Source organism: Homo sapiens, chromosome X (assembly GCF_000001405.40).
Source record: "Homo sapiens chromosome X, GRCh38.p14 Primary Assembly".
Taxonomy (NCBI): domain Eukaryota; kingdom Metazoa; phylum Chordata; class Mammalia; order Primates; family Hominidae; genus Homo; species Homo sapiens.
In genome coordinates, this window is record NC_000023.11 from 20,118,567 (window position 1) to 20,141,875 (window position 23,309).

Here is a 23,309-nt window from a genome sequence, read left to right on the forward strand (position 1 = left end):
GGAAAGTCCCTTTGTGGCACAAAAAATGTTTGTGATGAACGTGTTCCTGACACGCCCAAAGGTGTGCCGGGAGTAGGGTTCAAGTGTGGTGAGAAAGCCAGGAAGTTTAAACATAAATGAGTAGGAAAGTGAGCAGGTGGGGGCTGGTACCCTGAGCTGTAATGAAAACTCGAACACATTGAGATTAAGCCAAATTAAGAGCGTGGGAGCTGTCACTTTCTCCTCCCTTATCTTAGGGACCTTTGGTGAGTTCAATTCATCCAACTCTTGAGCTCATGGACATGTGTGTGTAGCATCCCTCTCTACTTTTATTCTATTTTTGGGGTCCTTTTACTTTCCATTCCTCTCCCTAATTATAAACACCTCCTCTGATATCTTTGCAGCTGCAATTTTGAAATACTGTTTTGAAGATACGCATGTATTTTAATTGTATATAAATGACACTGCATAAAAGCTATCATTCTATTTGTTTTTCCTCTCTTGGCATTGTTCTCAATCTACACAAAATGATTAGCCATTCTATCTGGTTTACCCTTCTGTAAATTCCCTGTTCAATCCTTGCCCACCTTTCCACTGGGCTACTCTGGTTGATTTCCAGGAGTTTCTTGTATTCTAGATAATTTCTGGTTTAAATGTTGCAAATATTTTATCCTAGCCAACTAAGCTTTTTAAGATTGGTAAAATTTTCCTTAATTTTTATGACAAAATCCTATTAACATGTTTACTCCATTTACAATATTGCCCTATTTTTTATCAACTGTTTTTGAAAGTTACATTACAAATACTTCCATGTGTATTTCCTAAGATTATGAATGTTCTGTTACACATACTAGAGTTGACTACCAACTTAAGTTTCACATGGATACAGTAATTTTCTCTCCATTGGCTGTTCCTCCACCTTAGAGGTAGTTTTCCTCTTGCAAAATGCACTGTGGTGAGGCACCTTAAGGCTATGCAGGTACTTACTCTTCGTCAAAAATTCTCTCTAGATTTAGCATCCATTGATGGTTCTTGCTTGATCTGATCTCATAATGATTACGAAGTGATAAAATCCATAAATTTTTCACCTTATGGTTTGCATTTTAAGAAGTCTTAATACGAACTTCCCTAGTCCCAAGATACTCCCCATTGCCCTCATGCTTATAGTAAAAAACGTAAAAAAAAAAAAAAAAAAAAAAAAAAGTAAAAAATGCTTTACTCTTAAGCAATTTTTCTGTATAGGGTGAGGTAAAGAGCCAAATCCACTTTTCTCTCCGAAGTGTAGTTTGGTCAGCACTACCTGCTTACCTATCCTTTCCCCAGTAATTTTTGAAGCCACTTTTTAAAAAATCAAGTACCTAATTTCCATAGTAGGTGAGATAGCTTCTGAGCTATCTATTCTGATCTTCCTGTTACTGCATCTATTATTCACTACTATGGCTTAGGGTGCAATTTATTTGTTGAATTCCCTCTTAGCAGTGTTTCTAGAATTCTTTGAAATTCAGTATTTCCACATGAATATATTTTAGGATGTTTTTGCAATCTCCCACCAAGGCCTGCTGTAATACTAAATGTAATTATATTGAAGTCAGAGGTTAATTTGGAGAAAATTGACATTTTCGACATTATGACAGAATATCCAATAGTGTAATTTCTATTTAAGCTTTTAAAAAAAATGACTTTCGAGTTTTCCGTGCTTTTCCCACTACACTAACTTCCTATAAAAATCTATAGCATGGCCGGGCGCAGTGGCTCACCCCTGTAGTCCCAGCACTTTGAGAGGCTGAGGCGGCCAGATCACCTGTGGTCGGGAGTTGAGACCAGCCTGACCAATATGGGGAAACCCCATCTCTACTAAAGATACAAAATTAGCCGGGTGTGCTGGCGCATGCCTGTAATCACAGCTACTCAGGAGGCTGAGGCAGGAGAATCACTTGAACCCAGGAGGCCGAGGTTGCGGTGAGCCAAGATCGCGCCATTGCACCCCAGCCTGGGCAACAAGAGCAAAACCCTGTCTCAAAAAAGAGGTTTTTGGCCGGGCATAGTGTCTTACACCTGTAATATCAGCACTTTGGGAAGCCAAGGTGGGAGAAGCACTTGCATCCAGGTGTTAGAGACCAGCCTGGACAAAACTGTGGGACCCCCATCTCTAAAAAATAAAAACAAAACATTCGGGCTTGGTGGTGCACCTGTAGTCCCCACTACTTGGGAGGCTGAGGTAGGAGGATCACTTGAGCCAGGGAGGTTGATGCTGTAGTGAGCTGTGATATGGCGTCACTGCACTCACCCTGGGCAACAGAGCAAGATCCTGTCTCTAAATAAATAAATAAATGAATGAATAAATAAATGGCTGAGTGCAGTAGCTTACATCTGTAATCCCAACACTTTGGGAGGTGGAGGCGAGTAGATCACTTGAGGTCAGGAGTTCCAGACCGGCCTAGCCAACATGGTGAAACCATACTAAAAATATAAAAATTGGCCAGGTGTGGTGGCGCATGCCTGTAATCCCAGCTACTTGGGAAGCTGAGACATGAGAATCGCTTGAACCCGGGAGGCAGAGGTCAGTGAGCTGAGATTGCACTATTGCACTCCAGCCTGGGCAACGGAGACTCCATCTCAAAAAAAAAGTTAGTGTCTCTGACAATGCAATAAAAATTTATTAACCTGAAGAGATTAATCTCATACACTGGTACATCCTAACCTTTGAGTACACATCTTTTCAATATTTCATGTGACAAAGTGGGGAATACTACACAAACCTCTTCTGCATACCAATGTACAGCAGTTGTCTCAAGGAAAAGCATTTGTGATAATTTGTATTCCAAACAACTGGACACTTTCATGAAATATCATTTTTACTTGAAAGAAAAGCTGATAAGCTGGTAATTCAAACTTGGATTTGTGTTCAACATTTTTGCAAAAACGAATAAAATTAGCCTGACACTTCAAGGGAAACAAGTGACCATATTTGTTGGTGGTGATAAAATTTGGGCTTTCCAGCATGAAAAAAGTTTTACAAAACTAGTATCTGCTACCATTAGCTTGACAACTTCACTAAAGTAAGAACTTTTCTGAAGAGACAGTGACATTAATGAAATGTGGCATCTTAATACTGTAGAATGAAAAGGGTCAACATATGGAAGATCATACCTCTGTCAGTTTTTTCCAAGTTTTCCAGGTGTGTGAAGTTACAAAGTCCATTCATAGTTCAAAATAGACCAATGAATTATAATGTAACAGTATGAAACGTTTGTTGATTTGGTGTTAGATTCCACAGTGCAACTTAAGAAATCACCTCTTGTCAAGATTGTGTGTAGTATCAAAGAACATACAAGTATCTGAAAAGACTATTAAAATCTTCCTTTTCCAACTACATACCTCTGAGGCCAGATTTTCTTCATATGCTTTAACCAAAACTTACTAGGACACATTGAATACAAAAGCAGATATGAGACTGTCTTCTATCAAGCTGGTCAAGATTTGCAAAAATGTGCAACAATGCCATCTCAAATTTTTGTTTCTGTTACTCCTTATTGTTTATGCTAGGCCGGGCGCGGTGGCTCATGCCTGTAGTCCCAGCACTTTGGGAGGCTGAGGCGGGCGGATCATGAGTTCAAGAGATCGAGACCATCCTGGCCAACATGGTGAAGCCCCGTCTCTACTAAAAATACAAAAATTAGCTAGGTGTGGTGGCGTGCATCTATAGTCCCAGCTACTTGGGAGGCTGAGGCAGGAGAATCACTTGAACCCGGGAGGCAGAGGTTGCAGTGAGCTGAGATCGCACCACTGCACTCCAGCCTGGTGAAAGAGTGAGACTTCGTCTCAAAAAAAAAAAAAAAAAAAAAAAAAAAATTTATGCTAATGCATTGGGTTTATTCTTGAATTACCATTTTTACAAAATCTATTAATACAGTCAACATTGACAGACAACTCACAAGCAATGTTGCCATTTCAAGGAAAATTGACAGTATTTATTGCCAGTGCTACATTTATACTTTCAAGTAAAAATTAGTTTTAGAAATTTGATCTACCAACATTAGCCAGATAAAAGAGCTCTGTGATTCTTCATTTTTAAGTATAAAGTAGGAGTTGGCAAACCCCTTTCTACAAAGGACCAGATAGTAAATACCTTGGGTCTTTGCAGGCCATCTGATCTGTTAGAACAACTCAGTTCTGCCACCGTAGTGCAAAAATAGCCGCCACAGACAACACACACAAATGAGTGTGGCTATATTCCAATAAAACCTATTAACAGAAATAGGTAGTGGGACGTACTTGACCTATCTACTGTAGTTTGTTGCCCCTTGATATAAAGGGCTTGAGACCAGATAATTTGAGACCTGCACAACAACTAAGTGGTATAGTAGATTTTAAGGTACTATTCACCCATACTAGAGCTTTTTTTTTTTTCTTTTTTAGACGGAGTTTCGCTCTTGTTGTCCCGGCTGGAGTGCAATGGTGCAATCTCGGCTCACTGCAACCTCCGCCTCCCAAGTACAAGCTCTTTTCCTGTCTCAGCCTCCCAAGCAGCTCAGATTACAGGCATGTGCCACCACGCCTGGCTAATTTTTTTGTATTTAGTAGCAACGGGGTTTCACCATGTTAGTCAGGCTGACCTTGAACTCCTGACCTCAGGTGATCCACCTGCCACCTGCCTTGGCCTCCCAAAGTGCTGGGATTACAGGAGTGTGCCACCACGCCTGTCCAATGTTTTTTTTTTTTTTTTTTTTTTTGAGACAGAGTCTCGCTCTGTTGCCCAGGCTAGAGTGCACTGGCACGACGTCAACTCACTGCAACCTCCACCTCCCAGGTTCAAGTGATCTCCTGCCTCAGTCTCCCAAATAGCTGGAATTACAGGCACCCGCCACCACGCTTGGCTAATTTTTGTATTTTTAGTAGAGACAGGGTTTCACTATGTTGGCCAGGCTGGTCATGAACTCCCGACCTCAGGTGATCCGCCCACCTTGGCCTCCCAAAGTGATGGGATTACAGGTGTGAGCCACTGCGCCCTGGCCCCAAAAACCTTTTTTTAATTGCAAGTTTATTTCTATGTTTGCCTTTGGTAGATAACCTAAGAAAATTCCCAACCGGGCATGGTAGCTCACGCCTGTAATCTCAGCACTTTGAAGGCTGAGGCGGGCGGATCACTTGAGGTCAGGAATTCGAGACCAGCCTGGCCAACATGGTGAAACCCCATCTCTACTAAAAATCCAAAAATCAGCTGGGCGTGGTGATGCGCGCCTGTAATCCCAGTTACTCGGGAGGCTGAGGCAGGAGGATTGCTTGAACCTGGTAGGCAGAGGCTGCAGTGAGCTGAGACTGCACCACTGCACTCCAGCCTGGGCGACAGAGTGAGACTCTGTCTCAAGAAAAAAACAACAAAAAAAAATCCCATTGTTAGATTCCTAAGACAGGTTTAAAATTGTAAATATGTATTAAACGTTATCAAATCTGCGAAGTCCAACTAATTTTGTATCTGACAGCACAGAAATCAGCAATGGGACTTGACTCGGACTTTGTCCCTACTTTCTGATCTACCAACATCAAGTTGTGAACTGAACAAAACAATGGACTGGAATGGCAGTACAGACTGGGCTTTTAAAAGGGGGCAAGTTGGCCAGAAGTGTAAGTATTTACTTCACCTATAGGTCTCTGCATCGTATAAAGTAAAGGTCTGTTGAATGTGACTTTGCAATCTGAAGTCACTCTGCTGAAGTGACTTACCATTAGAAAATGCCTTCTTCAGCACAGATTTGTGACAAATTCACTTGCTGAGAAAATGCAACCCCATATCTGGAATATGGCTAAATGGATTCATTCAGATCAAACAACCAAAAACAGACAAAAATAAAAACAAGGTATACCTTTTCCTTATATATCACAATTAAGTTTTAAAAACAGCAAATTTTTGGAAAAGAGTCATATGAATAAATAGTTTAAAATGTTATAAAGTTAGAAAAGAATCAATTGTATACATTGTTGAAAGTTGTTCATATTTTATTTTCTAATTGCAGTAGTTTGTATCTGATTTCTTTACATCATTCCATATGATGGGAAAGGAAACCTCTAAATCAGTTAGTACTAATTAGCTGTCATGAATCTATAGTAAAAGGAATCACTGAAGATTTAAGAATAAAATATTATCAGAGGTATCAATATTAATAACTATAATCTTTTTCTAAAGAAATATAGAACAGTTGGTATTTTGTAAAATATCTTCAAGCAAATGAGAGACTTCATCTGTTAGTCTTATGCCAAATTAAATGAGTTTGGTAGCAATTTCAAATACTATGTTGACATGAATGTACAAATATACATTCTACGTGTTCCTTCTATTGTACGAATCAAAGACTGCACGCAAAAGAAATGGGAAATACAGAATACAGAAGACATGCACCTTCTATCTTACATAGTACTGGATATCAAGTGAAAAGAGCAGACACTGATCTAAGTACATTACATGTATAAACATCTAAATTATCAATCCTCCCAACAATTCTGCATGACAGGTACTGTTTTCATCATCCCCATCTTAGAGGTGAAGAACCTGAAGCTGAGACAAGCAGGAGAATGTGCCAGTGGTCACCTGCAGGTAGAGGGCCAAGTAAGGGTGGGGGCAAAGGCCCTTTGACCCCAGGATCCATGCTCTCCCCTCTCCAGTACACTGCCTCACAAGTACCTAGCAACTTGCAGGGCTAGGAGGGGGGAATAAGAGAGGACAAAGTCCAATACATTCTCCAAATTGCTCAGTTCATTCTATACCTGAGAGTCTTGTGTCTTTTCACATTTTGCTCTTTTCTGAATAGGAAGAAAAAAAGCAAAGATAAAAAGGATGGTAGTTTAGGGTAAACCAAAAACACAAAGCAGTGTGCAAAAGTTCATGGGAGTCCAAAGAGTATAAATAAAACTTACCCTTACGAAGTAGAATAAAGATAAGCATTTCATACCAATACAAATCATTTTCATCTTTATGACAGTCAGGTAACATCAAAAAAACCTTGCTTTCATTCTGATACTTTAGCTGTCAATCCAGTCAATACCGGTTGTTGTTAAGTCTGTATACAAGTAAAGTATAAATCTAGCTATTTTACTCAAAACATGCTTTTACCTATTTGATTACTCAGAGTTACTCTGAAATCAATAATGACAGCAGTTTATACCTATGGAAGATGTTACTGAACATCATAATCTAATATTTACATTAGATGAGATTAAGTTAAATTACAAGTCACAAAGAGTTTGTAAGCAAACATTTATAGCCATGATTCCACAGATGTGGTGAGTAAACCAACAGCCATTCCTAAATAAAATACAAGAATTTCCATCATGCATAGTTTACAGGCTTGGTAAGAAGCGGTCTCTTTAGGGGCCAGATGCTTAAGAAATATTCAACAAACAATGAAATCTTGGCTTTTTTTTTTTTTTACACAAATGTTTGGTTATTTAGCCACACTAGTGATAAAACATATTCATATTCTAACTGCAAGTGGAATAAACATTGCAACAAAAATGCAACCCAATCAAAATCATTAGTAATAACTATTACTCCCTCTTAGCAGTAAGAACCATTATTCTTGGATTTCAAACATTTTATTTTCTGTGCATAGCTTATAGCACTGTATTATAGGAATCAGAGTGTATAAGCAAAAAAATGAAAAATAAAACTTCTTGGAGACCATTTCCATTATTTATGATTAAATCAATGAAACTATACAATTTCCACATTAAATACAAATTAGTAGAAGAATTCCTCCAAGTAGTATTGCATATAAGCTACAACTTTACCCCAACTATTTTAATCACTATGATTCGAGATTTCCTAGGATTTAACAGCCCAAGATTGGGCTGTTACTACCTCAGCAAGAACAATCACCAGTAAATACATGAACTGGGGTTATAGCTGAATTTTTAGAAACTCTCCAGACAAACCACGTGTTAGAGGAGGTAAGTAGAAAAACTAATGTTTGAGCTGTGCTATTCCTACCAGGAACTATATCAAATATGCAAAGTTCAAACATTCTTAGTAAAATAATATGAAAGGATCTATATATACTGTAAATTTAGCAAAAACACTTTTATGTACAGAAGCCTAAATATCTTAGGAGGTTTAGAATACCAATGAAGAGAATTGTTAATTCTTCAAGGCTGGTTTCTTATGAGGATTAAAAACCAGCCCTTAGTCTCAGATGCATTCCACCTAGATGTGTTCACGAACTCCATAGAATAAGAAATATAAACCATGAATACGTACTCTTAATTTCCATTCTTCAACTTAATGTTCTATAGTACTTCAGATTTTTAAATCCAGAGTTTGGTGTACACTTAGGAAATTATAGTAAGAGTAGATTAGAGAAGATTTGCTTGTTTTCCTTTTGAAGCCATGTGAAGGTTTATTACCCTGTGTATTTTCATCACTGAAAAGTTCCCCGGTGACTAATAAAATAAAAGTGTCACAAGCTACATGATGGATCTCTTCTTTTAATGTTGCATAGAGTTTCAGTTTGGCTAGTGAGGGCTAACTAGCTCAGCCCTAGTTTCATTTTATTAGAGTTGACCACTAAAAACTAAATAAGGAAGTTACCAGTAAAGCTAATTCCCAATACAAGCAAAAAACAAAAACAAAAAACAAAAACAAAACCATTCACATAATAAAATATATCCTTAACACAAAATAAGGGTATAACATATTCTGCAGCATGACATTTTATTTTATTTCTCAGCTGTAGCTTTTTCATTCAGAAACTGGAGACCATCTTTTCACTGAGTTGTTATTCCTTCCTCTTCCCTTAGCTTAGGGATATGTTGAAAAAGGCTTTTCAACAAGTATTTTATTTTTTACAAGTTGCTATGAAATTAAAATTTATATATATATCTTAAGTGTTTATAAAGCACTCAAAATTGTAGCTTACATGTATATGACTTCTGAAAATAAAAATCACACTTCTAACATAATCTTTCTGCTCTGCAAAAATATTCTACATACATGCATATGATCAAAACAATCTTTTCATGTTTGGGGTATTTCTTACACATAGTAAAAGAAAAGTCAACAATTGTATCAGTACTTCCCCTGTTAAGATAACTGAGTGCCACCTAGTGTTCAATTTCTGCAACTACTAAGCTTACAAATTCAATACTGCTATTAAAACCCAGGTTCTGAAAACGGCATTTTGGAAATCTTTTTTTTTTTTTTTATGTTTACGGTGGCAAAATACGACTATGAAAAGAACATGATATCAAAATCAGTATAAAAATAGCCACAGGCTACTTAAATATGACAAACAGACTTATTTTTTTTCTTCAACTGCAGACTTCTGCCTCCCTCAAATTGTATCAAAATCTCAAGGGAATATCTAGGTAACTGGAATATACACAATGACTCTATACAATCAAGAGGCCAGGGCTTAATCAGATTCCGTGAGGACAAGGCAAATGATTTCTTCAAAACACCCATTTTCTTACTGGAAGTGGTAGGAAAAGCAGCAATGCATGGTTTTTTTTTTTTTTTGTAATTAGTAGACATGGTCTTCTACCCATAAGCTCCATTACATTAAAAGAACAAAGTGGGCTTAACATCTCACTTAAGATAATTCAGCATTATTATCAGTTTTAAAAAAACCAAAAATATCTTAGAAACAAATCAGTCTGCTTTAACAAATTGCATTCATGCTAATGAAATTTTAATCTTCTTTGTCATGATCAAAATCCAAATTGTAGGACAATCTTCAGAAAAGATGGAATGTAAAATGTTGAGTTCAATTTAGATCTGGAAGGGAAAAGAACATCAGATGAAAGGAAAAAGAATTCTTATATTCCAACAGTCTACTCCATATATAAGGGAGACTTTCACCTCCTTAGGCTATGTGAGAAACAAATCCAGTTTGAAGAAGAAATTCCTATAATTCTGGCCTGCTATAAGTAAATCGTGATGATCTCCTTTGTAATGTTACATGTTATGCAAAATATTCTTAATAAAATTTACTGTCTCCTTCCTTTAATGCTTGTAATTTGAGATTTTTGTATCTCATGGATGGGAGCAGACACAGGAAGCATGATATGATTGATCCCGTTCAGTGTGATACTGACCTAATTCTCCTGAGTCAATCTGGTTATAGTTAAAACATCTATAAACCACCTGGAGAAATGTCTCAAAGAGTAGGGTTCTCAGGTGACAGAGCCAACTTTTACAAAATGTTCAAGAGAACTCCTTTAATAATCACTCTTTACCATCCCTTTTCCAGCCAGCCAGCTGGGTCCAGTTCTGAGGAGGCGTTGGCCCAGATCCAGAAATTTTTACTGAGAAAATCTTGACCACGCCTAGATTCTCAACCCATTATCTTGGTGCATGCGGCTTCATATCCATGCATGTTCTCTGGTTAGGTTCCTTAATTTTTTTTTTTTTTTAAAGAGGCCTTCTACCCCTGCTCAGATGTCAAAATGTTTGGGTTGGCGCTTAATCCACATGTCAGCTGCAAGCTCTTATTTACCAAAGAATAGAATTGTTAATTCTATTGTCAAAATATTAGTAACAGTTTAGTCGTAAGACTCCTCTTGGCTCAGGGTCTCCAAAATTAAGAAAATAACAGAACAACATGTTTATTTCTCACTTCCTATTTTTGTGTACATGTTAAAATGTCTATAATATTAGTAATTTAACTCACAGTGTGAGTATTCTTGGTCAGGAACAACTGCTCTAGGTATTCCGAAATTCCATCTTTGCATCAAATTTAACGTTATTATGTTATTTATGTAGAGACAAAGTCTGGCTATGTTACCCAGGCTGGTCTTGAACTCCTGGGCTCAGGTGATCCTCCCCTATCAGTCTCCTGAGTAGCTGGGACTATGGGTGCATACCACCACATCTGACTTATTATTGTTTTTGGGTTGAAATACACAGGTGGTTTCTGAACTACATTTTAGTTAAAAGAGGTTTGAAAAGAAGAGCCCAAAACAGATTTAAGAGTAACACCCTAATCACTAAATAAATTTATACTGCCAAAAGATTAAGTTTGAATTTCATTCAATTACAGTAACAGCAGAAGTGCAGTAAAGCATTTACACTTATGGGCATTACTACTTTATTATTAGGAAAGACAATCCATTTTCCTCAAAATAAACATACCAACTGCAAACCAAGAGTTTGCCAACAGTACACACCCAACAGCTAAAAATACCATAATTGGCAATAGGCTTCCATTTTGACAAGGCTTTCAGTGTATGTTGTAATTCCAATGCTTCATATCAAGCTGGTTCAAACAAGATTCTTTCAACACACTAATATTTCAATTAAAAAGGCATGTTCCTTTGATAAGATCTATTTTTCAACTGTCCACTAAATTTCTTAATGGCTATCTCTTTAGAGACTCTTAATTAAACAAGTTATGATTAGAGTGGCTGGCGTTAATATTGCCAATGCAAACACTGACCTTTTCAGGAAGAGAAATTGAAGAGGGTTATAAGAATTCTCAAAATAGGGCCGGGCATGGTGGCTCACGCCTGCAACCCCAGCACTTTGGGAGGCCGAGGAGGGCAGATCACCGGAGGTCAGGAGTTCGAGACCAGCCTGGCCAACGTGGTGAAACCTCGTCTCTACTAAAAATACAAAAAATTAGCCAGGCGTGGTGGCACGCGCCTGTAGTCCCAGCTATTCAGGAGGCTGAGGCAGGAGAATCGCTTGAACCCAGGAGGCAGAGATTGCAGTGAGCTGAGATTGTACCACTGCACTCCAGCCTGGGTGACAGAACAAAACTCCATCACAAAAAAAAAAAAAAAAAAAAAAAAAAAAAGAATTCTCAAAATATAAACAGTTTGACCAGGTGTCTTCTAAATAATATTATTTAATTCAGACAATTCTCAAAATACAACCTTATTTAAGTGTCCCATGTTCTTAAAATTAATGGATGTTAGGGGAAAGTTGGTTTCTCCATGGATAATAACAAAAATTGGAAAACACAAGGTACATCTACTTACGTCATCAATATCTTCATCATCATCTCCAATGTCATCAAACTGAATTTCATCATCATCTCCAGGACCAAATGTATCAGTTTCATTGATTTTAGCTAAGGACACAGTAAGAAATACTCATAAGTCAGCACTGTAATTTACTCAAAGTTTCATCATAAGAGCATTCCTTTTATATAAGACAATAACTATAAAGAATATTTTATGAAAAAAAATTCCTGCAGTGTCACTGCTAAGTCAAGATGGGAGTATCTGTGTTACCATTTTCTTTTGTTTGCAAAGGTATTTTTAGTAAGGAAGGCCCTAATTACACTAATTCTGAAGCTATTATAACTTTCAGGTATACTTCTCAACATACAAGGAAATATGGTAACAACGTATTTCCTTAAGAATAGCTGGTTCACTAATCATCAGATAGACTCATCAATCAGAAAGATCTGGTCAAATCATGATTACCCCTAAGCAATGAAAATGAACCAGGAAGCGCTAGTCCTATTCCTATATACATTAACATTTCTTAGATCAGAAATGCTAAGTAATTTCAGCAGGACTTTCATGCTTAAGTAAAATATAACAAAATTATGTTTTTTCTTAAGATACAACAGAGCCAAAAATAATAACTGCCAAGTGAAAATGCAGGCCTACAGAACAGTATGTCAAGTACATTTCCCCTTTGATGAGGTTATAAGGGACTTATTTTTAGGTTTTCTGCGTTAAGAATTCATTACTTTTGTATTTGGAAGGGTGAAAACCAAGAAATGTTGCTTTTAAAAAATCCTATGGGATACTATTATACAACGATAAAATGGAAATATAACTTTTTAATAAAAATCAGTAATGAGGCCGGGCATGGTGGTTCACGCCTGAAATCCGAGCACTTTGGTAGGCAGAGGTGGGTGGATCATCTGAGGTCAGGAGTTTGAGACTAGCCTGACCAACATGGTGAAACCCCGTCTCTACTAAAACTACAAAATTAGCCGGGCATGGTGGTGCATGCCTGTAATCTCAGCTGCTTTGGAGGCTGAGAATCGCTTGAACCTGGGAGGCAGAGGTTGCAGTGAGCCAAGACTGCACCACTGCACTCCAGCCTGGGCAAAAGAGTGAGACTCCATTTCAAAACAAACAAACAAAATCAGTAACTGTACCTAATTACTTGCCCTTGCTTCATGGTTTTTTTTTTTTTTTTTTTTTAATTTTTTTTGAGACAAGGTCTCACTTTGTCACTCAGGCTCGAGTATAGTGGCATGATCATAGGTCACTGCATCCTTGAACTCTTGGACTCAAGCAATCCTCCCGTCTTGGCCTCCCAAGTAGCTGAGACTACAGGCATGTGCCACCATGCCCGGCTGACTTGCACTTCGTGTTTAACCCATATGCGCACTGACAGTCTCTCGAGGAAGGAATTTTAATAGATACTATAACAAAATTATTCCTTTAGTTAGCATTATGTGGAAGTCCAAAGCTTACAGAACTCCTCACCATATTTATTAGGAACAGAATTCCAGTAATTTCTTTCTTATAGTATCTAGTATTATGAAGCATAGGCAGGCATACTTAAAACTAAAAATGTGAGCACTAAAGTAAATAAGCAAAATCCATAGTTCCTTCACCTAACCAGCAACACATAACCTAAATACCATATGACAAGTTAATACAGTAACTCAGACATTACCATGCTCTGGAAGCTCGCCGTATGCCTTCAGACTTCTAGCTTCGTCTGCATTGTATTTTAAAATTACATCAGCTTTGTTATCCTTAAATAGAGACAAATAACTTTAAAAAACTGATCATAACAAAATATTATCAGTTATTTCATAAATTCTCATATTGAATAAACAATCAAATCTCACCGTTTTACTATAAATCTTTCTCCTTTTAAATTTTAAAGCTTTCTCATACCCTCTGAAAAAGATCCTTAGGTTTAACCCAAGAGGAAGCTTATGTACATGCCTGAATGATTAACAAGCTTGGGAAATATAGAGATCTCACTTTAATAAGAGCAGAACTGTGCATACCCCATATTTTAGATTATTTAATATTACCCTTTGATCAGAAGTCTTTTGAAGTACAAAAGTTCCCTGGGACAATAATTTGCAGGGTGATCAAACACTGCAATTCCAAAACTGAGACTGAACTGAGACTGGTATAATGACCTAAGGAAATTATACCTTTCTGTATTATCTGTGCTTCTTTGCCTAGGTATCAATCACAATCTCCTGTGGAGCTTTTATATCTTCTGAAGACAGATTAGTAGATGTGAAGAGAAGCCCAAGAATTAGTATTGTGAGAAGTTCTTTAGGTATTTCTGATGCAAAAGTCCCATTGAGAAATACTGCCTTAGAATGTTTCTACTTCCCTATTTGAAAATAATTTAACTCAGTTAAGGGAGAAAATTGATTGCTTCAACTTCAAGGACAGTGTGATTCAGACCAGTACTTCTTAAAATGTAAAGTGTATAGAAGCCTATGGAGATCTTATTAAAATGCATGTTCTGACTGAAGAGTCAAAGAACCTGTATTTCTAACAAGCTTCCAGAAGATGCTATCGAGCCATTGACCACCCTGTAAGTAGGAGGGGCACGGAAAGATCATGAATAATTTCAAATCAGAAGTTGGTCCTGGCTGTCACTTTACAGTCAAAATGTTACTCATTTTGGACCCTTGGTTTCCTTATCTATCGAACAGGAAATTACTTATTCTTCCTATTTCTGGGGTTATTGTTAGATCATAAGAAAAAAATGGACATTAAAATGGTATGAATTTAAAGCAAGCTTTCTCACCTCAGCGCTATGGATTATTGTGAGGCGGACCATTCTCTATTATGGGATGCTGTCCTGTGCCCACCCCAGCCTCTATCTACTACATGCTAGCAGCACTGCACCCATCCCCCAGTTGTGACAACCAGAAAAGTCTCCAGACACTGCCAATGTCCCTCGGAGGGCAAAACTGCCCACAGTTGAGAAACAATGGCTTAAAGTGAAGATTTAAATTATTTATTCTGGGTTTTTTTTTTTTTTAAATCAAAGTATGATCGAGGCTATACAAATAGAGATAGTATCATACAGGGATGATTTCCAATAGGTGGATGTCAAATGGATCTCACAGACCCACAATGAGTCTACAGAGTCAAGGGTTACCATCACGAAAGGCAACCACCACTTTCTTTCTTTCCCAAGTGCTCCTTTAGATTTATAGCACATACCTATGTTGTGATGTGTATTGTAATTACTTGTGTGCTTAACTCTCTCCACTACCAGGCTATGAGCCTTTTGTGGGATGGGCACTTAACTCATTCAGCTGTATCCCCTAGAATAATGGCTCCCAGATTTTGATTTAAACATAAATCCCTGGGATACCTAGCACAATGCCTGAAACAAAACTGGCTCTTAAGAAATGGCTCATCAAATTCAAGCCAGTAAAATAGGAAAAATTTACATGTAAATTTTACCTGGTAGTCTCGGAGACCAACCAAAATAATGTCCGAGGTATTTATCCAAACCTACAAAAGAAAAGTCACTGCCCGTCACATTTAAAATAACGAAGAATCAAGAAATTCCAGAGTAACAATCAATTAGTTTAGAAATTAAGAGATTTTAGGCCAGGAGCGGTGGCTCATGCCTGTAATCCCAGCACTCTGGGAGGCCAAGGTGGGCGGATCACCTGAGGTCAGGAGTTCGAGACCATCCTGGCCAACATGGCAAAAACCCGTCTCTACTAAAAAATACAAAAATTAGCTGGGCGTGGTGGCATGCCCTTGTAGTCCCAGCTACTCGGGAGGCTGAGGCTGGAGAATCACTTGAACCTGGGAGACGGAGGTTGCAGTGAGCCAAGACTGCGCTACTGCACTCCAGCCTGGGCAACAGAGTGAGACTCCGTCTCAAAAAAACAAATAAATAAACTTCTTTAAAAGAAAAAAAAAAAGAAAAGAAATTAAGAGATTTTAGTTTGGGCTGGCATTGTGGCTCACGCCTATAATCCCAGCACTTTGGGAGGCCGAGGCCGGCGGGTCACTTGAGGTCAGGAGTTCAAGACCAGCCTGGCCAAAATGGTAAAACCTTGTCTTTACTAAAAATACAAAAATTAGCGAGGCGTGGTGGCGCATGCCTATAATCCCAGCTACTCAGGAGGCTGAGGCTGGAGAAACACTTGAATCTGGGAGGCGGAGATTGCACTGAGCCAAGATTGTGCCACTGCACTCCAGCCTGGATGACAGAGTGAGACTCTGTCTCAAAAAAAAAAGAAAGAAAAAGAAAAAAAGATTTTAGTTTGGGAATAGAAGGATTAACATACCAAATTAAAAAAAATAAATACAAAATCAGAGTTGGGACTTTTAGTCAACCTGATTAATAAATCTGCCTGAATAACTACTGTGATGGTGAATTAATCATTACTTTCCAAGGCAGTCCATTCACGATGACATTCAAGAGATGCAACATTAATACAATGCTTATATAACTCATATTCAAATTTTCTGAATGTACACTTTACAGCTATATGTCCAATTCCTAAATCAGAATCCAAACAAGGGCAACCTACTCCATTTAACTGTCAGGTCTCTTTAAGTCTCCTTGCAACTAGAATAGTACCCCAGCTTTTTTTTTTTTTTTTTTTTGAAACTTTCATGACAGTAACATTGCATTAAGAGCTGGGCCATCTGGCTGGGTACAGTGGCTCATGCCTATAATCCCAGCATTTTGGGAGGCCAAGGTGGGCTGATTGCTTGAGCTGAGGATTCGAAACCAGCCTAAGCAACATGAAGAAACCCCATCTCTACAAAAAATACAGAAATTAGCCAGGCATGGTGGCACAGGCCTGTAGCCCCTGCTACACGGGAGGCTGAAGTGGGAGGATCACTTGAACCAATGAGGGTGAGGTTACAGTGAGCCCAGATCATGCCACTACTCTACAGGCTGGGTGATAAGAGTGAGACCCTGTATCAAAAAAAAGACAAGGAAAAAAAAAACTGGGCCGTTTGTTTTTGCAGAATGTCTCTCAATTTGGACTTTTTGGGCAGGAATACAATACAAGTGATACAAATGCTTCTTTAACATTAGAACCTGTATAAAATTACCATTACAGACCTTGCTATTTTACTTATAGGTAAATCACTGTTTACCAAGGTAAGTCTTTTGGGAATTTCCAAAAATGAAGTCCATGGACAGTTAAAAACTGTAGAGGGATTTTCCCCCTTAACCAATTTTATATTAAAGTAAAACAAATCACACCTACCTTTTTTCTCAATTTTCCTCTGATGTGACATAACCTCTTTACACCATCGAAACACATTGCTTCTAGCCGTCCATTTCCCAACATTTTGATTACCTGAGCATACTCTAGCGGGGAGAAAGGAAAAGGGTATGGAATATTGTTCAACTTTTGATAACAGCAACTTAAAGTCCACATAAAACTGTCAAGAGAATAAAGTTGCACCAGTTGGGAATAAATACATATAGTAAAACTATAAACAAACATAAGGGAGTGATAAACATCAAGTTAGTTAACGGCAGAGCTAGAACTAAGACTCTATGATGACATTTCTTTCTTTCTTTCTTTTTTCTGAGCTCAGGTCAAGTGTAGAAAACTTCATAGTTACAAAGGTCAGTCGTAAAACCTTTACATCATTGCCCAGAAATGATTAGGCTTTCATAGACATACATATGCACCCCCTCACCCCCAATCTCATTCATTCCTACAACTGCTACCTTTATAAACACGTGTGCGTGCACACACACACACACCCCCCACACACACACCAGACATATGCCCTTATTGTTTTACATTGTTTTATAGTTCTGCTTCTCAGAACTGTAGAGATCATGCATCAGGTAGACCGGAAAGCCTTCTGATGCTCAGATTTGGCTAGTTTCATCATTGATCCACTTCAGTAAAAGCAGATCTCAGAGAATGTAATGCCATTTCTATAATATACTGTCTCTGCTATTAGACATGTTTAAATTATCGACTCATTCTGAATAAGTAGATTGACTACCCCACTTTTGGCTCTCCTTTACCTCAGTACCTTTAGGTGCAAATCTCATAATTTTTAGTTCATTTAGCAAACAAAAACAAACTTCAAACAATGTCTTTGTTGAATTAGAATATGACTAATCCCCAGAGAGGATGTCCATTAATTTGTAAATATACTGAGACTTCATTTTGAAAGGCTCAACAGTGGGGATGACTTGTGGAAGTCAATTACTCAGACTACAGTGAGTTTAGCACCCATCTACCACCTCAACATGGTTGGTCAACTCAAAGGCAGCCTTTCTTCTGAAGTGAGGGAAAAAGTAATAATAAAACAGTGTATGCCCAAGTCAAGTCAGCTGCTATTTTAGAGGCAAGGATGACCAAGGCTAAGAAACCAAAGGACTTTTAGCCAGAAAACGTATCTCATGTTTACTGGTTTATATGTATGGCGTAATAAATCCACCCAAAGTTCTATTAAAAGCTAAAGTACTGGAAATAATTGGAATACCTGAGGAAATATGGAGTATATACTAGATATTATATCAATGTCAAATTACCTGAGTGTGATAATTCTCTTCTAGTTATATAAGAAAATATACTTGCACTTAGAAGATACATGATCAAGTAAGGGAAAAGTAACATGATGTCTCTAAATTTCAAATGGTCCTGAAGAAATCCTACATATGGGGCTAGGTGCGGTGGCTCACGCCTGTAATCCCAGCACTTTCGGAGGCCGAGACGGGTGGATCACGAGGTTAGGAGATCGAGACCCATCCTGGCTAACACAGTGAAACCCCGTCTCTACTAAAAATACAAAAAAAATACCCAGGCATGGTGGCGGGTGCCTGTAGTCCCAGCTACTTGGGAGGCTGAGGCAGGAGAATGGCGTGAACCCGGGAGGTGGAGCTTGTAGTGAGCCGAGATCGCGCCACTGCACTCCAGCCTGGGCGACAGAGCGAGACTCCATCTCAAAAAAAAAATTAAAAAATCCCACATATATATTTCTTTATATGTGTGTGTACAGATGAAGGATTTAAGGGAGTTTGTTGCACTAATACTGCAACTTTCTGTAGGTTTGAAATGACTCGAAATAAAAGTAACAGGAAAGGGCAAACGATCCAGTTAGGATTTATTTGACTAGTGCTATGTATCTTGGTCTGGCACTTACAATATTCTTCAGTCTAATAAAATCAGTTAACTGTTCAGTTTCATTTTATTGTAGTTTACGAAGTTATATGCTAATGGCACTGGAGAATGGAGAGGTCTATAAGGGCCTCAGGCTCATCCTTCAAATGTCCATGGTCTACTCAACATATTATATGTACCATTCACTACCAGAAATGCTAATCATAGAACTGCCAACTAAATCACAGAACTGTCAACCATAGCTCAATTCCCTCTGAACTATACGACACATTCTTAGTTCCCAGTACTTTGGGAGGTCATGGTGGGAGAATCACTTGAGCCCAGGAGTTCGAGAATAGCCAGGGCAACATATGAAGACCTCATCTCTATACAGTTTTTTTTTTTTTTTTTTTTTTTTTTTTGAGACAGAGTCTCCCTCTGTCACCCAGGCTGGAGTGCAGTGGTGTGATCTCGGCTCACTGCAACCTCCGCCTCCCAGGTTCAAACAATTCTCCTGCCTCAGCCTCCTGAGTAGCTGGGATTACAGGCACGTGCCACCACACCCAGCTAATTTTTGTAATTTTAGTAGAGACGGGGTTTCATCATGTTGGTCAGGCTGGTCTCGAACTCCTGACCTCGTGATCCGCCCGCCTTGGCCTCCCAAAGTGCTGGGATTACAGACGTGAGCCACTGCGCCCAGCCTAAAAAAATTTTTAAAATTAGCCAGACGTGGTGGTGTGTGCCTGTAGTCCCAAATACTCGGGAGGCTGAAGTGGAAGGACTGCTTCAGCCCAGGAGGTCATGGCTGCAGTGGGCTGTAATCGTGCCACCACACTTCACCCTGGGCGATGGGCAAGACGCTGTCTCAAAAAAATAAAGTCCCCAGCTAAAAAAGAAAGGATGTTATTTTAAAAAGCGTAATTTATGAAAACACTTACCCTGACCATCCTCTTTGAATACCAGTTCTCTTTTTTCAGATTCATTCTCATTCTTACCCCTGCGTCTGTTTTTACCTCCTTTACCTGATGGTTTAAAAAAAAGAAAAGGAGGTAAATGACATTAATTATCTGTAAAACAGTATGAAATAAAATGAAATTAAGGCTTATAAAACCATTTTTTAAAAGATCACTTAAATTAAAAAATTCATCTATTTTAGCTACACAATCATATTAAATTTACAATCTCCAATCCCAACATTAACACATTATCACCTCCCTACCCTTCTTGGAATTTCCTTTGGGGATTTTTCTGACATAAAATACACATAAATAGCAGATATTATGTTAAAAAATATAGAAAAACATTTCACTTTAGCACCCATCCTTTTGAAATAAAAATGCAATTCTATACATATTCTTCTAAGCGGAAATCTTGGGTGTCTTCTAAAGCCAGGCCCTATGCAAGGAACCCGATACTTTCAAAATTAAGTGAAGACAGTGTCTGGACAGAGAACTGTGGTTTTCAAACTTTTGGTAGCAGAGTACCATAAATATTGAAATCTCACTGGGTGCAGTGGTGTGCGCCTAGGGTCTCAGCTACTCAGGAGGCTCAGGTGGGAGGATCACTTGAGCAAGCCCAGGAGGTTCCAGGCTAGCCTGGGCAACATAGCGAGACACTGTCTCTTAAAAAATAAAGAAGATCTGTTCGGTACCCAATTTACTTTCTTTTATAATGCTGGTCCCTACTCAACATCCCTGTTTCTATTATATGACCCCAGTGACCATGCTCTTAACCACTATGCAATAATTCTGCCCATTTACTTGTCACAATCACCCCATGAGGTCATAACATTCATTTATTCCCAGTTTACCCATGAGTTCCCTGAAGCTCAGAGAAGTTAAGTAAGTCGCTTAGCTTCAGTGAGTAAATCAGTTCACTGATTACAGTCAGTAAGCTGGGGTGACCAAAGTCACAATGTTTTTTTTGCCCCTAGCCCCCACATAAGCTTACCTCTCCACAGCATTTTGCTCCCATTCCAGAAAGGAAACCACATTGGCAGCCATTTCCAAAAGGCAGGAAAAAGGCTGTAAGTGGTAATGACCCTAAGAGACTCATGGGAAGAGCTTGGAAGCAGCAAAAAAAAATGGAGGACACTTAAATTAGGTCATGAAAAGTACCATTCCTCTAAGTAAGATAACTAAGAACTGATTGGTTTCAGACAGTACAGGAATGATAAACACCAAACTCAGCCTGGTGATTACCTCCAAAAAGAGAGTAAAAGGTGATTAGGGCTTTACCTCAATCTGCGCTGTAATTCTTAAATTCAGAGTAATGGGTTCCCAGGTATATCATGTTAGCTGTATTTTTTGTATGCCTCAAATGTTATTTAAGAAAAGACTAATTACTTGTCAATTTACCAGAATTAACCATACCCGGATCACTCCCCTTTGTATTTTATTGCCATGTAATGGGATGTTCTTTAAATTCTCTGTTGAATGAATGAGACTAGGTCTGAGTGTACAACAATTAAAGTGACATCAACATTCTTTAAACCAGAGTTGTTTTGGAGAAATTCCCAGAGAGGCTCTTTCTTAAGACATGAGGCTAGGGAACTAGATGTGATTTAGTGTAGAAGTCCTATCCCCTTGGAACCAAAGCAGAACCTATTATTCACTAAGGGTGGAGTCGACAGGAGGTAGGTGACTTAAACCAACAAATATTTATTAAGCATCTACTAATTGTCAAGTGCTGGCAATCCAATGAGATTAAGACAGATACTATTCCTGCCTTGTAGAGCTTACAGCCTGGTGGAAGAATTGGAAATCTTATTACTAGAAATAAAGGTGAGAATAAGATGGAAGTGATCCCCTTACCACCTCAGAGAGAATAAAGGATTATACAGAAGAAAACTGTAAGACTTTAAAATTTTTTGTTTATAACTCCATCTTTTCCAAAATAATGAGCAGTGACTGCACCAACTTGTGCACAGAACACCTCGACCAAGTACCCTAAGGGATAAAGTAATAAGTGACAGCTACAAAGAGGAAATGTGGTAGAATCCCTGGAGCCAGCTGTCAAGTAGAAAAGAGAGCAGAAGTAGGCCTGTGTCAGGGGAGGGTTTCCTCTAGAATGAATAATCAAAGGAGACTACTTACGGACTATGAAGTATGCTCCTCTCCTGTAGGAAAATACAGTATTTTCCCTATATTTACTTGCACAATTTTCTTCAAGTTATACGGCTATTAAAAATGACAGGAACACTGTAAATCTATAAAAGTAATTTCTTTAGGAGTGTTCTGTTTTTTGTTTTTGTTTTTTTTTTTTTAAGATTAGGCCTTCCGTTTTGGAAATCCCAAATAAAGTTATCCTCAAGTCTGATCATTTGTGAACGCTTAGCCTCAGAATGGAGGACACTTAAATTAGGTCTTTATTCTCACAACATATGCATCATCTGAAGCAAAAGTAGAAAACTTGGCTCAATATGGAATAAGTCTTCAGCAAACAAACATAAGCTATATCCTGTAAAGGGATGGAGAGAGTAAATCTCTAGAGGTGAGCCTTAGAAATGTATCAAGGTTTCACCCACTGTTCACAAGGGACAGCGAGTAGCCTCAACAATACTGAACTGTCCATAAAGAAACCCATGCAGGAGTACCTGGTGCTCACGAATGCAGACAGCACTCTGAAAGTTCAGAACGGCTTCCAGGGATTATAACCCCTCATGCCCGGGAAGGCCAAAGGGGCCTATCTACTAAACCTAGGCCGCCCCGGGGAAGGTTCCCGCCACCGTCCCCACCGAGCAGCGGTCAGTCTGGCGCGAATCAGGAGCAAAAGCCCACATTCTCCCGCAGGAGGCCCTACAAAAATGGCGCCGGCTCCACCCCAATGTGACCAAACTGGGCAACAGGAGTTAACTTCCCAGCTCCTCTCCCGAGCTCAGAGTCGCGTGTGGGGCGCCCAGCCGCGGGCAGGCAGGGCGGGAAGGAAAAAGGGTCACTGCGGCCTGGGTGACCTGCAATCTACGGGCAGGACCTGGGAGACCCGGCCGAGCAGAGCCGTGGTCCGGGGGTCCGGGCGGCATTACCTTTATTCTTGGGCATGGCGGTGGCGGCGACCTCGCGGCGTCTCTGACTTCTTTCCGGGTAGCGGCGACCGCGGCGGCTGCTGCTCCGAGGGGCGACACGAGGGAGCGCGCGGGACCAAGTAGGTGCTGGAGGCCAGGCAACGTGCGCGGGAGAGGCTGGCGACCCAGCTCTTCAGAGATCCGCCTGCGTCCACGCTCGGCGGCAGCAAATGGCGCCGCGACTCTTTGCGTCGCTTTTCCCCGCCTCCCGT

General features: G+C 39.2%; 1 protein-coding gene, 1 long non-coding RNA gene and 1 other non-coding gene across 3 annotated transcripts, besides 2 other annotated features; 1 reads left to right on the forward strand and 2 right to left on the reverse strand.

The window, feature by feature from the left end:
- EIF1AX (eukaryotic translation initiation factor 1A X-linked) lies at nucleotides 5,959-23,272 on the reverse strand. The gene is made up of 7 exons (NM_001412.4): nucleotides 23,059-23,272; nucleotides 19,973-20,056; nucleotides 17,172-17,275; nucleotides 15,391-15,441; nucleotides 13,616-13,697; nucleotides 11,950-12,041; nucleotides 5,959-9,745 (listed from the first exon to the last, which is right to left on the reverse strand). The coding sequence occupies exons 1-7, from the start codon at nucleotides 23,072-23,074 to the stop codon at nucleotides 9,740-9,742; spliced, it is 435 nt and encodes a 144-aa protein (NP_001403.1). The 5' UTR covers nucleotides 23,075-23,272; the 3' UTR covers nucleotides 5,959-9,739.
- Nucleotides 17,500-17,847, reverse strand: SCARNA9L (small Cajal body-specific RNA 9 like). The gene has a single exon (NR_023358.1).
- EIF1AX-AS1 (EIF1AX antisense RNA 1) lies at nucleotides 21,402-21,878 on the forward strand. The gene is made up of 2 exons (NR_046592.2): nucleotides 21,402-21,669; nucleotides 21,769-21,878. It is a non-coding gene; the product is annotated as an EIF1AX antisense RNA 1 (long non-coding RNA).
- Nucleotides 22,514-22,673: an enhancer, noted in NCBI's record as "active region_29478". NCBI's record gives its function as "activates an Ori minimal core promoter by ATAC-STARR-seq in GM12878 lymphoblastoid cells {active_cell/tissue: GM12878}" and the evidence as "EXISTENCE:reporter gene assay evidence [ECO:0000049][PMID:35858748]".
- Nucleotides 23,004-23,273: an enhancer, noted in NCBI's record as "active region_29479". NCBI's record gives its function as "activates an Ori minimal core promoter by ATAC-STARR-seq in GM12878 lymphoblastoid cells {active_cell/tissue: GM12878}" and the evidence as "EXISTENCE:reporter gene assay evidence [ECO:0000049][PMID:35858748]".